This window comes from Homo sapiens, chromosome 8, assembly GCF_000001405.40.
Source record: "Homo sapiens chromosome 8, GRCh38.p14 Primary Assembly".
Classification (NCBI taxonomy): domain Eukaryota; kingdom Metazoa; phylum Chordata; class Mammalia; order Primates; family Hominidae; genus Homo; species Homo sapiens.
In genome coordinates, this window is record NC_000008.11 from 54,755,267 (window position 1) to 54,769,628 (window position 14,362).

At 40.6% G+C, this 14,362-nt stretch overlaps 1 protein-coding gene across 8 annotated transcripts in view; it reads left to right on the forward strand.

The window, feature by feature from the left end:
- The window catches only part of RP1 (RP1 axonemal microtubule associated), a 312,050-nt gene that overhangs the window by 196,082 nt on the left and 101,606 nt on the right, over positions 1 to 14,362 (forward strand). For 6 of the 8 annotated variants that reach the window (XM_047422069.1, XM_047422071.1, XM_047422072.1 and 3 more), the window contains 2 exons: positions 353 to 504; positions 3,656 to 3,810. In XM_047422069.1, coding sequence (XP_047278025.1) covers positions 353 to 504; positions 3,656 to 3,810 — 307 coding nt within the window. Of the gene's footprint in view, positions 1 to 265; positions 310 to 352; positions 505 to 3,655; positions 3,811 to 14,362 lie in introns of those variants that run through there. The other 2 variants (XM_047422070.1, XM_047422074.1) reach the window with 2 other exon arrangements.

Genomic DNA, 14,362 nt, shown 5'->3' on the forward strand with positions numbered 1-14,362 from the left:
ATTTTAAACTTTAAACATAATGTACAATAACAGTCACCTTTACCACTAAAATACTAAGCATAAAATGTCCTCTTATGTCATACATAGAAGAACAACCTTATAAAAAATCTTTTATTTCTCTTTCTGAAAATGCAATAAACCTTCTGGCCTTTTGCAAAAATGCCCATGTATGATTAAAAATAATTAAAGCTCAAAAGTCTCTCAATAGACACAGAAAATCCAGATTACAGGAATTCTCATATATGTTTTTCTTTTTTTACTATAGCCTGAAAACCTATGGATCTGGGTTCTGTTTGTATGGATTTCAAGGTAATGTATTTCCTCTTATTTTCTCTCCCTGTTGCTTTGCCAGTAGTGAGATACCAGGTTGACGTCTACACTGGGCAGCTGAAGCATGCAGAGACGGAGTCTGAGGTTTTCCTCTGTCTCTTTGGGGAGAGGGGAGACTCTGGCCTCAGACAGCTGTACAAATCTAACATGCAAGTAAAATTTCAAAGAGGACAGGTGAGTCTATACAAATAATTTCCCAGATTCTTAACAATCTCTCTGAAGATGGCCACATATGATTTAAAATTTAAAAGGCGTTTGGCACTCTTCAAATTGTAGTTTTAAGACATCTTTAACACATTTTCCTGACCTGACTTCCTAATGTGCTTTGTTTTGGAAGTTGTTCTTGCAAGAAAAATGGGACATACTAAACCAACAGTATATAATAGAACAAAGAAAAGATATTAAAAATTAGTGATCATGTGAGGAAAAGAAAAAAATGAACTCAAAAGACAAGGAAAATATTTATGAATGTGCTCTCTCAGGCTTGAAAGATACAAGGCATTATTTTAAAAGATAAGGCCATAGAAATGCCATTATACTATATTTCATATAATAACACAATGACCTTTAATCTATAAAACATTTTGAATGGGGCCAACTGTGTTATTTTCACACCTAAGCCCCTCCTTATTTCCTTTTGTCCTTATAGACAAACATAAGTCTTTCTATATAGTAGATCTTTGAGAAGTTGCAGTAGGATATTGTTAATGTTATTTTGTTGTATATGGAGAGAAGGTACTATTTGAGGGCCTGAAATTAAGTTTGGGGATTATGTAATCTAAAGGCATATTTTTAAGAAAGAAGACTCCTTAAACCAGTTAGAGAGTGCTGTTTCTCAGACTGTTTGTTGTAGTTTGTGAAATATTTTGAAACATTGGATATCTTAAAGCTCACCTATACATTTGTCACTGTTGATTACACAAAAGCTTTCATCAGAATGAATAGGAAAGCCAGTTCTGCTTTGAGTGAGTCAAAAGCAAAATTAGGCCTAACTTTTGCTATCAGGAATGAATTATTAATTTTAAGCAGAAACAAAATTTTAGATGCCGTGGTATTATTATTAATATTACGCTAAGTGATCAGCGAAGTGATCTCCTACAGAACCGTGCTGGCTTTGCATCAGCCCCAGACTCTTTCACCTGACTACTTGAGGATAAATGGCAGAGGCTCCATGTACCCTGGCTGCCTGCTAGTTGGCTGCCAGCATGTATCATTTTGCAGCAGTGCTGTATCATGGGACGTTACCTGCTGAGATTTTGCAAGTCATCTTCATGATTGATCTTCCTCAGTTCATCATTGTGTTTAGCATTTTCCAGACAGTAGGGAGGGTGTATTGTGGATTGAAATTAAAATTGGGTAGGAGATATAGTTGCAATCAGTGTATAAAGAAGAGTACAGTGAGGGCTTAGTGGTATCTGCTTTTAAGTTTAGAATCAGAGATGTAAAAGTGTTTTTCTTCCCTGGTTCATTTTAGATTTTACATTTTCTGTTATTTTCCTCGGTGCTTGGGATATAATGGAAATGCCAAATAATTTCATGAGTTTTGTAGTCCAGAAACTGTGGTAAGAGTCTGAGAGTTTTATTATCAGAATTTGTGCATACCTGCCACATCTCACATCATAAACCACTCATTGGGCTAGTTGTCATTTTCTCTACAAGGTGTCCTGGCACGATAATAAAACATAGCAATATATGTAACAGACCAAATTTAATTCTGTCTTCAAACCTAAAATTACTTTAAGATAAAAGAAGAGACCAGAAAGCTGACTCAGCCTATCTTTCCAGACCTCAAAGTGTTGTAGTTTGGGCTTGTCCCAAAGCCAACTGAGAGACAAAGACTTCAGTGAGGGTAATTTATCTGGGAGATAATCCCAGTAAGCACTGGAGAAGTGAAGGAGTGGGAACAGTGAGGCAGGAAAGGAGAAAAGCCAATACAGGGATATTAGTGAGCTGGTTACTGCTGTGGCTACCTCTTCTTGCTAGAGAACTTCAGAGAAACTCTGTGAAACATCTCTCAGATTTGTCCCACCAGGGGAAGCCCTCAGACACAGAAGCAGGAGACAGGAGATTGAGATAGAAAGCTATAAGCACACTGAAACTGTTTATCAAAGCAGCAGATGCACCTAGAAAGTCCTAGAAATGGATCCAGAGGTCATGGGATGGGGCATCACTTGCATTTGCTACAACAGGTGACCTGCCTCATGAAACGTCCCTTGTAAAGCCGTGCTGAGAATGCAGGACAGTGACAATGAGATGATCTGTGCACACATGAGAAGATGCACAAATATTCATCATCTGGTTTACAGAACCATCATTACTGGACTAGTAATGGTTTTGGTCTGGACTCCACAGGAGGTTTCCATCAACAGCATGGAGCCAATAGTTGAGACAGCATGGAGCCAATAGTTGTAGTGTGTCTTCAAATATCAAATTGAAATTTAACCTGGTAACAATGCAGGGAGCAGTTAAGACAGCTCTCCACATAGGCAATACAAATGATACTAGAGTAACATTTTTTACCATAGAGTAGCAGTAGCTAACAGTCAACTATCATTTCTGGTAACTTTTCAGACTTACTTAAATTCATGATCCTTTCCTCAGATAACTTTAGGACGTTTATTCTCGACAACAATCTACGAGAAAGTAATGTGTGAAGGAGTTCTTTTGATTTTAATCAGTATAGCACTGACTTTAGGTCCTGAATCTCTCTGGAAATGTCAGTGTATTTTTGATATAACAAACCAATTCTATTTAGGAGTGAAGAGTCCAGGCTACTCTTTTACAACAAACCCAAGAATGTGCTCTATTTTCATCTACAGAGGAAGGTGCAGGGGAAGGATGTATTGAAGGAGGGAGGGAAGGAGGGAGGGAGGGAGGGAGGGAAGGAGGGAGGAAGGAAGGAAGGAAAGAAAATTTGTCCCACATGTCTCAAAGCATATCAGTACTCATAGAAAGGAAATGTGCTGTACATTAGCTGCGTGGTTGTCAACCTGATGCCCTAATGAGCTGCTTCTCAGAGTAGGGGTCTAACGAGAGAAAAGTGTTTGTGTTGGGATTTCTTTGTTTGTTACTCTGGATGCTACTACAAATGGAGAAAATAAAACTGCAAGAGTGAAAAAACAGCCAGAAATATATTTTTAATAGATAAAAAGTAATTTGCTTATTTTTCTCACCATATTGCCCCTTTTGATGCTAACTACAGTAACATCTCTTTTAAAGTATTGTGCTGCTTCTGGCAGTCGTTTAACTATTATTATTGCCTGCATTTGTCATGCCTCGGACTCTAGTTATTTCTGTGGGTTTTTTTCTCTGTCTCCTGCACCAGATTGATAAATTTCAAGTAGCAGCAGTGTCGCTTGGAAAACTGCAGAAGGTGCTGTTGCGCTGTGAGGCCAGTGACAAATCACAGTACTGGTACTGTGAACAAGTCATAGTCAGAGAGCCCGGCACCACATCCGAGTCCATCTTTACCTGTCAAAGGTAATGCTGGTCTCCAAGATACTTCAAAAGAGTATGCTGCACTGTGGATGATGCTGTGTGTGTGTGTGTGTGTGTGTGTGTGTGTGTGTGTGTGTGTGTATCTTTTAGGTCACGGATTTGTTTCATTAACTCAGATTCCACACCATGAATAACTCTTTGATTGCTTAAATAATCTTTTGCTAGACATTGTAAGGAAGACTTATCTTATAATTTCTTATTACCACGATGTTGTGTGTGTCACAAAAGGACCAAAAGTTTAATACTGGAAATTATTACATAAATAGTGAGAATATTTGTTTAACTGTTGGTTTCTTTACATTACTAAAATTGTAGTGTTACAACAGTTTCATAAGGAAATTAAGTGTGGAGAATATTACAGAGAAGAACTTTCAGAGCAGAATATAAGAAAGACAAACATTAAATTCTAGGTAAGTTGGACTTTCCTTGAGCCCCATGAGGGTCAGTCCTGAAAGCAGCTCTCTAAATTCCTGACCTGGCCCTGTACTGCCTCGGCTTGAGACACAGGTCCCACATATACTTCCTTCTTCAAATCTCCTCATAGAAATCCCACACCTTCTTGCTTAAGAAAGTGTCACCTGTTTTTCCAAGAAGAAGCCTGGTTCTCTAGATCTTTACTGAGCCCTGCTGTTTCTCAAGAAAATGCTTAGCTTCGGCTAGATGGGCAATCATGTTTATTGTTGCTTGGTCTCTCAGTCACAGGGAATAGGCTGAGCCCTGACTTACAAATTGAGTTAAAACCCAATCTGTTGTGGGCATGGGAATGAGAAACTTGAGGTTCCATTTTGAAAATTTGAATCTTCAATATCGAGGGCTGCCCTGTATCCTCTTTTTCCAAATAGGTAATCAACAGGAAATGAGATAACAAAGTACAGGCAAAATAGGGGCAAGCAGAAATTCAAGGGTTCGGATTTAGCCAAGAAAATTGCAACTTTAAGTACTAAGCAAAAAGTAAAAATAATGAGGCAATTCAACTAAAAATCCTAAAGGCATGCCACTAAAACCTGCAAACACCCAAGATGATTGGAGCTGACTGCAGATGAACAGAAGCGGTGAGATCAACAGTAGCCCTCGTCTTTTTTGCCTTTTAGTCATTAAATTCAGTCAATTCCTTGTTCATAGTGTCTGCTTAATTCATCCTTTCTTTTATCTTACTACTACCTCTGCCCTGATTGATGCCCTTGTTCATCAAGACTAGCTCATCGCAGTCGTCTTCCAATTTTCTTCTGTGTCTTTCTTTCGCAGCCTACCTGCCCACAACTTCCAAGCTAGCCCTTCTATGGTACTAACTAGCATCATTCTGACTTTATCTTTTCTTCTCTCATGTCTCCTTTGTTTTATTTTGAATTTTATTCTTTAGTATTTTATTGTATAGCTTTGCCTGAAAATGTTTCAAGAAAAAATATGGGGGAAAATAATGTTCTAAAAGCTATATTTTAATCACATCACTCTCCTGTTTAAAAACCTTCAATAATCCTCATTGCCTACCACAAAAGCAAAACTAAACAGAACTTCCATTCAAGGCTTTATAACATCTGACTCTATATTTCCCCCTCCAATTTGTTTTTATTGCTGTCCTCTTACAAGATCTTAGTGAAATTAGACCCCTATAATTACCTAAACAAGTTCTGTTCCACTCTGCTTTTGTCCCTCGGAGTGCTAGTCTTCACTCAAGAGGACCTTTCCTTGCTCTCTTCTCCCCATTATAATCCTGTCCATCCTCAAGTTCCAATTCCAATTTGGCCTGTAGTATGACTTAATTGGCCAAACTACAAAGATTTTTTCTCTTCTCTCAATGTGTACTCAGAACTTAGCACAGCACAGGCACCCCCATCTGATGAGTAACACATAGCACTGAAGAGGACTTGGGTGTCATTTCCCAGCCTGCTCCCACCCACAGCACACAGGCATCTCTGGGGCACTGGTGGAAGCTCTGTTTTATTCCCTGCATCAGAAGAGGTAGAGTGTGCTTCATCCAGGACTTTCATCTTATGTTCTGATATAGTTTGTCACATTAGTTTAGCTGATTTCTTTTAAATATGAAATCTTCTGGTGGGTAATTTAGATGCAGTCACTGCCACTGTCCATGTCTACACATACATTTCACATCGTCACCCATCATTTCTTGCGCTACCTTACTTTTTTTTTTTTTTTTTTTTTGAGACGGAGTCTTGCTCTGTCACACAGGCTGGAGTGCAGTGACTCAATCTCAGCTCACTGCAACCTTCACCTCCTGGGTTGAAGCAATTCTCCTGCCTCAGCCTCCCAAGTAGCTGGGATTACAGGCATGTACCACCATGCCTGGCTAATTTTTGTATTTTTAGTTGAGACAGGGTTTCACCATGTTGGCCAGGCTGGTCTCCAACCCCTGACTTCAGGCAATCCGCTCGCCTTAACCTCCCAAACTGCTGGATTACAGGCATGAGCCACCGCACCTGGCCCCTGCACTACCTTACTTCTTGTTTGTGCTGTGCCACCATGGCCTCCTTTGGAAGGAAGGAGCATAAGTGATAGCTTAATTATTATAATTTCAATGGGTTGTATCTGAAAGAATTTTAGTTTCAAAATATATTGAACAATCCCAAATAATGTAACAGATATAAAATATTAAATGCTAATATTTAATACCCTGATCATAGTAGGTCCTAAATAAATGGTACCGAGTGCTCATTCATGTAATACCCTGATGAAGAAAGTAAGTTGCAAAAATAATTGCTTTCTATTATGTAGCTATACAGAGATGAGACAGTTCCTACTTCCTTAATTCTTAAAGGAGCAGAAGAGTATGGCACCAGGAATAGAACTTGGGGCACAGCAGGTTCCTTTCTACTGCAGAAAAAGGCCATTCTGAAGCCACTTATAGTTACTTCTGTCTCCCAGAGCCTTTTCTGTGCATATGAGGTCAAGGTCAGTGTCCATGGAGCCTGGAAGGCTGTTCTGAAGAGAAAGGAGAGCCATGGGTGCACGCAGGAGCTGGAGTGGACAGTCCTGGCGGGGGAGCTGGGTAGGGTATGATGCTGGGCATGTTCACTGTGGCTAGTTAGTTCTGGGGTACAGGCATCCAAAATGCTCAGGTGCACATCACAGAAGGGAAAAGGAAAGAAAATCTCGGTCATGCTCCTTGGAGTTTCCTCAGAGAACAAGAATTTACAGCACAGCTGAATTAGGGCAGAGAAAAAGACCACCGAGTGCTTGTCCCTTTTTGTGGGCTCGGGGGAAATGCTTAGGTGAGACACAAAGCAGAGCCGCGTGAGGAGACTGCTTGTATGCATCACAGAGGCTGCCTGCGAGTGTGCGCATCCTCCTTTCCTTTTTCCCTCTTCAACTGAACACCCACGTCCTTATGGCTTTATTTTATTTCTATGCCTGAAGGTATTATTTTTCTGTCTTTTGTACATTTAATATAGATAGGGGTATACATCACTGAATTTCTACCATTTACACTGGAGGTTTGGCTATTTGAGGTTTGCAGCAAACAAAATTTTATTTGAATAAGGCAGACATTCAACTGACTTTATGAATTAATGCAAATATTTTCATTTAGTATTTATATTAGCTTCCTGTGGCTGCCGTAACAAATTGCCACAGATTTGATTGCATTGAACAACTGAAATATATCCTTTTGCAGCTCCTGGAGGCCAGTGATCCACGATCCAGGTGTCATCGGGGCCTCACTGTCTCGGAAGGCCTGGGAAACAGTCCTTCCTCGCCCTTCCCACTTCTGCTGCATGCTCACTGTCCTTGGGTTTCCTTGGCTTGCAGCTGCATCACTCCAGCCTCTGCTCCGTTGTCACATGGCTGTCTTCCTTTTGTGTGTCTGTGTCTCTGTATTTCTTATCTTTTTGTAAGGACACTGTCGTCATTGGACTAGACCCATCCTACTCCAGTATGGCCTCATCTTTACTAATTACATACCCTATTTCCAAACAAGGTCATGTTCTGAGGTTCTAGGTGGCCATGAATTTTGGGGGAACACTATTTAACCCAGTATACTTTTTGAGTGGATTCTGTAATGTATTGTTTAGCATTAAATTAGGGAATCTCCAGATTTTTCTGTGTTACCAAACTTGAACTATTGTGTATGCATGTGTATATGTGAGTCTTGACTTTAATGTGAAATTATTAAAAATAAGTTAGCATCTATCTTTTAATAGAAACAATGTCATTCACAATATATATTTGATAACCTACTTGACCTAGGAGGGCCTGGAGACAAGGAGTGCCAAAAGCTTCTCAATGTTGCCTTTCATAACTCCTGGTTTGGGAAATGACATTGATAGGAGCTTGCAGAAGCAAGTTATTTGAAATAAAGGCCCTACCTAGGGGAATTCTAAATAGAAGGAGAATTTTTAAATGCAGAAATCAATCAGTTAAATGCAAATAACTACAAATAATGACCAACATGGAGAAACCATGTCTCTACTAAAAATACAAAATTAGCCGGGCATGGTGGTGCATGCCTGTAATCCCAGCTACTCGGGAGGCTGAGGCAGGAGAATTGCTTGAACCCAGGAGGCGGAGGTAGTGGTGAGCCGATAGTGTGCCATTGAACTCCAGCCTGGGCAACAAGAACAAAAACTCCATCTCAAAAACAAACAAACAAACAAAACGAATCTAACTTGACTTGTCAAAGCAAGGCAGCATGACCAGCTTTGTCCTCTCAAAACCAAATTGTAGTCAGATAGGTGGAGTGACCCTGAGGCACATTCACCTGAGGAATAAGGACATAATGCTCCACAGCGTTCCTTAGAGTTGACATTGCAGTTAACACCTTTAAAGTGTTCCCGTCTCATTTCTATTCAGGATTCATGACTTTAAAATTTTTTTTTTTGAGAAAGGTTGAGATTATCTCCTTTGTGCAAAGTATAAGAAAAGAAGACTTTAAAAGCTTTCCACTATGGCTAGAATAGACTATCAGCAAATCCTGAATACCTCTGGTAGGTGGAATGCCACCTCCACTCCAGACTCACGCCCTTTTCACGGTCCTCAGCACCTTCTTATTAATTGTTGAAAAAAAGAGTCTGTTGTTCCACCGAAACAATTGTGGGCCCCCTGCAGGCAGGTGAGGCAGGCCTTCGGGCAAGGCAAACTAAAGGCCTTCTTTTCATCCTTGAGATCACACTCTGGGGGAACCTTTGCAGCCAAAAGCTGGCCTTGGCCACACAGCAGGCCTACAGCTCAGCCAGGGCCTGGCAGACACTTTCTTCTCTGCTCCTCACTGGCCTTCACTGTGTTCTCAGCTGGTGCTGTTGGATCTGAGTTTACCTAACTCATGGCCATTCCGTGGTGCCTGGAGTCCTGTAGGCTTTCATGGGTATATTTACTGGTGAGTTGACAAAAGATGCGTCACCTCTGCCAGGAGATATTTCCTGAAGCTACAGGTTGGGAAACTCATTTTCCTGTATACCTTTCACAAGGCGTGTGACATTAACTCAGCACTTACTACATTAAGTTATATGTGTGTGTTTATGTGTCTGTCCTACTCCTCTAGTTCAGTACACTTTTCCCCAAGGTTGGGCTGATGTCTTATATTTTTACTTTCAGCTCCTATCGTTTCTGAAATAGAAGGGAACTAGGTTAAATTTACATGTGTAATAAATTCAACCAAAATGCATGCATTAATCAAGACACTATAAGCCCAAAGGGAAATCATATTAAAAGACAGATTTGGAATTAGAACACAATTTAAAAGGTTTAATTGTATCTTAACCTCACTATGACACATATAAACAAAATTGTCACTTAATACTCATTTTTAAGTGTTAATGACAACAAGAAGCCAAAGAGTAATTCTTAGAATTAGCATGAGTTAAAAAGAAAAAAAAAAAAAAGACGTGTCCTACTGGTATAGATTTTTAAGCAAAATGCAGTTTACTTGTCTCAGGATCTCACTCTTGAAAAACTGAAGTGGCTAGTTGGCCAACCACACCGCAAGGGGGCTCCGCCTTGACGGCCTGGCAGAGAGCGGCGTTTCTGCTGCTCTATCACTGCAGCCTCACACACCAGCAGGCCGCATCTCCATGCATGAGATTCTTCCGTGGAAGCAAGGCTGATAATCACCCCTGTACCATCCCATCATTATTATTCACAAAGCATTGTCCTTGCTTAATTGCCTTGTGGCAACTCTAGCGGTTATTCCATGAAAATCAAACATGAGGCGCATGCTCTTAGGAGGTTGTAATCAAGACCTTCAGTGTCCACAGGACAAATACACAGAACATAGTAGGTACTCAGAAAGTGTGTGCTAAATTAGTGAATTAGTTAGTAAATCATGAGCTGAGCCTTATACAGAACAGGGCTGAGTATATCATTTGTGGAGAGGGTCAGGAAAAGAAGCAGGGGCAGCCCTGTTTGAACAGCATCCTTCTTCTGTGTAAGTATAGTTGGCAAGAGAACTTTTACACCTAGGCCAGCTCTGCCTGAAGGTGTTAGTGTGTGGTGAATTAAAAACATATTATCCCCCTACCTTGGCCATTTACCTTTCTAGGCTTTTCTTCCAATTCTCCTGAGTAGAGTACGTTTCGCTTCTGTCTCTAGACATTCTCCAGGGATATTGTTACTCTTTTCCCTCATTTGTTTTAGCTCATTATATTCTTTCTTCTGCTTACTGAAATTCTTATCCCTCAAGGCCCAGGATAAAATGTTATCCATGCCATGAAGCTTTCTCTGCTTGCCCAGACAGAAGTGTGTTCATCCTTACCCTCTTTAAATTCCTCCAGCACTTGACTTAGACCTTTATGCAATTCTTGCCAGACAATGCACTGCCATTGTTTGTGAACGTATTTGTCTCAGGTACCAGATGATATGCTTCTTAAGGGTAGTGTCTCATAAATTTCTCTTTATTTTCCAGTATGGCTTCTTGTACCAAGTATGGATTTAGCAAATATTTATAGATAGGAATGGGGAAAGGAAGGAAGGGAAGGAAGGAGGGAGGGGGGTAAGGACGATGGATGGAAAACACAGTGGAATCTCAAGCTGGAAGAAACCTTAGAGGTCACCTAATCTTTGCATGAGTTCCCTCTGTAACATACTCAGATGTCTCATTACGAATAATTTATGCATTTATTTATTTTCAAAATAAGTCAGCCTGTCTACAAATGGTTTTATTTTCCCTTTCTGGGAAAAGAGGGGGAGATGATGAATGATATAGATAAAAAAAGATGTTGAAATTTTGATAAAGTACAGAAATGTAAAATACAATTTTTATAGGGAGAAGGGAATAATAAAAATTATCATGAGGCAGTGAGCAATCATTTAACTTTACTGATTTTTTTTTTCCTGAAAGAGGCCACTATTAATCATTTCTTGCTATTCTGAGCATGTATTTGTGCTGCTGCAGATTTCTGTGCTCTTCTTTGTCAGTTTACGCCATTCCTTGGTGCGAAAGTGACAAGTAGTGATGGTGGGAAACTGACAGAATGAGGTGCAGGGATGAGTCTTGTTCATTTTTTGGGGATGGGGGTGGAGACATAGAATCTTCAAATATTTCTTCTGCCATTTTCAATGTGAAAGTGTGCCAAATATAAAATATATCTCAGACTAAATAAAATCTGTACTACTCCTTACCTCGTTATACATCTTCCCCCAGCAAAACACCCTATATGTTTTAAGGCGGGAGCACCCCAACACGTTCCACAATTGTCTACTTTAATCTTAAAAGACTAACAGAATTTTTGCCCCTGTCTTTGTGTTTCCTAGCTAGGCCAGTGAAAGGGAGCTCCCTGGTGACCTAGGGGTTTAGGCATTCTTTAGCTGGTGGCTGCAGAGAATGGATTGTGTTCTTGGTCAAGCAACCTTCTCGTGCTTGCTTTTTATTCCATTCCTTTAATATCATCACTGCACTTCTCAAGCCACACTGCTCCAATTCTCCCATCTGTTCATTGGCTTTGGGGGAATTTTCTTGTCTTAATGTGAAAACTTGCTTCACTATCCAAGGCCTACTGTTTTATGGCACATCTGAGAAAAGTAGGATGGTTGTTTGTTGACTGGCAGTCACCCCAAATATATTTTCTGTAACACAACTGTGTACAAGGCACTGTGTTTGGCAGTCAGGAAATGCAGTAGTAACTATTTTACCATAATACATTTATGTATGTTTAATTCTGTATCCTTTGTATAGGTAAGGTTATTATCCATAATTTATAAATGAGGAAACTGAGGGTTACAAAGATTAAGGACATGGGGCAAGGTTGCACAAGTAGTAGATGTTGAAGCCAGGTTTTGAAACAAGGCAATCTGACTCTACTTGAAATTTAAAGTCTGTATTCTTTTTTTTTTTTTTTTGAGATGGAGTCTTGCTCTGTCACCCAGGCTGGAGTTCAGTGGAGCGATCTCAGCCTACTGCAACCTCTGCCTCCGAGGTTTAAGTGATTCTCCTGCCTCAGCCTCCTGAGTAGCTGTGATTACAGGTGTGTGCCAACATGCCTGGACAATTTTTGGATTTTTAGTAGAGATGGGGTTTCACCATGTTGGCCAGGCTGGTCTTGAACTCCTGACCTCAGGTGATCCATCTGCCTTGGCCTCCCAAAGTGCTGGGATTACAGGTGTGAGCCACCTTGCTGGGCCTAAAGTCTGTATTTTTAAACATGAAGCTGACTGTCTTTATTCTGGCATGTAAAGTAAACTCTTTACATACATAACAATGTAGCTGGAAAGATGGGATACATAAACCAAAACATAACTAATAAAGTAAGATTGCATAATTAGGGGCTAACAAAATGTGCAAAATATATTGTATGTGTGTTATTAGGCTCCAGAGGAGGAAAGAACACTGTGAGCTAAAGTGGTCAGAAGGAAATGGGATTTCTCATAGCTTTGGAAAAATGGAGAGATGAGCAATCCTGACAGCTGGGTAGGACTGCGAGCTCACAGTTCGCCTTTATACCCCACACCTTCCCATTATCTGCTGATTGCAAGGCTAGTGTGGTGACGTCAGTCCTACAGCTCAGACTCTTAAGTTCCTTGACATTGTCAGATCCTTGAGTAACCCACACACAACCCCTGCCGCTACCCCATCTTGTCCAGCAGCCTCCTGTGCGTCAGCCACGTGGAATCTCATTGGACTCTGTACCTTTGCCAGTGCTGTTGTCTCTCTCTACGGTGCCCATCCTGACCTACTTATTGTCCAACCTTCAGCTCAAGTATCACCTCTTTGTTTAATTTTTTTGTTCTTCATTCCTTTGCACTTCCCCATTCCTGCAATTGAGTTGGTCAGTCTCTTTTTCTGCTCCTATAACATCTGTATTTAAGTGTCTCACCACACTTTGTTACATTTATATCTTTACATATCTGTTTCCTTCTGTTTTACACTGGAAGCTCCTCAGGTCACGTTTCTTCTCTCTTTTGTTTTTCTTGTAGTCCCAGCACTTAGGAAAATACCTGCCCACACAGGGCACTTTCTAAGTATGTATTGAATGGATAGATGGAAGGATGGAAGGAATGAGAGTATGTGTAAGTGTGTGGGATAGCAATAACCGTGGTTTTTGTGGTATAATAATAAAACTGATATACCATGTAATACTACAAAAAAATGCTTGTACACGACTTTTCATTTCAGCTTCACAACACTGCTATGAGGCAGGTAATTTAGTCAAAGAAAGTAAGTTTCAAGAGGGTAAGATCACAAAGCCAGTAAATGGCAAAGCTGGTTTTCTGAGTCCAATCTTGACCTTTTCTTCAAAAGGGAGCTTCTAACACTAAAGTTTACCTGGTTTAGGGGGAAGCTCCAGGAGGATCAGCTATTAGCTCACCCTAAGCACATTTTCCAGCATGATAATATTTTCACCAACTTTATGGTTATATTCTTTTTTTTTTTTTTTTTGAGACGGAGTCTCACTCTGTTGCCCAGGCTGGAGTGCAGTGGCACAATCTCAGCTTACTGCAAGCTCTGCCTCCCAGGTTCACGCCTTCTCCTGCCTCAGCCTCCTGAGTAGCTGGGACTACAGGCGCCCACCACCACGCCCAGCTAATTTTTTTATTTTTAGTAGAGATGGGCTTTCACCGTGTTAGCCAGGATGGTCTCGATCTCCTGACCTCATGATCCACCCGCCTTGGCCTCCCAAAGTGCTGGGATTACAGGCATGAGCCACCACGCCTGGCCAATGGTAATATTCTTTTTGCAAACACTGAGGAAGAGATTTTAGAGGAAGCCAGGTGAAAGCAAGACAGAAACTCTCATAGAGGAAATATTAAAATAGGAAGTCTATTTTTCTGTGCCAAGTTTCCCTGCAATCAATGTGCAGGCCATATTTTCTAGGCTGGCCCAGGTACCATGCTCAAAATCTGAAACCTGCCCTTGCCCTTTTATCCAGCTTGGTACTGGGAGTGCTCTGCTGGAGCCCCAGTTGCTTTTACAGGTGATAGTGGTAGAGGACTGACAAACCTGGAGAGGTGGGTGGTTAGCAGGGTTAGCAACGTATATATTTCGTTCTTCAAGCCACAGGTATGATTCTTACCATTCTTAGTGCTATGATGAATGTGTAATAGGATGGATTGTGTTTGACTATATAAAAAGCAACTTTATAGTTAACATTTA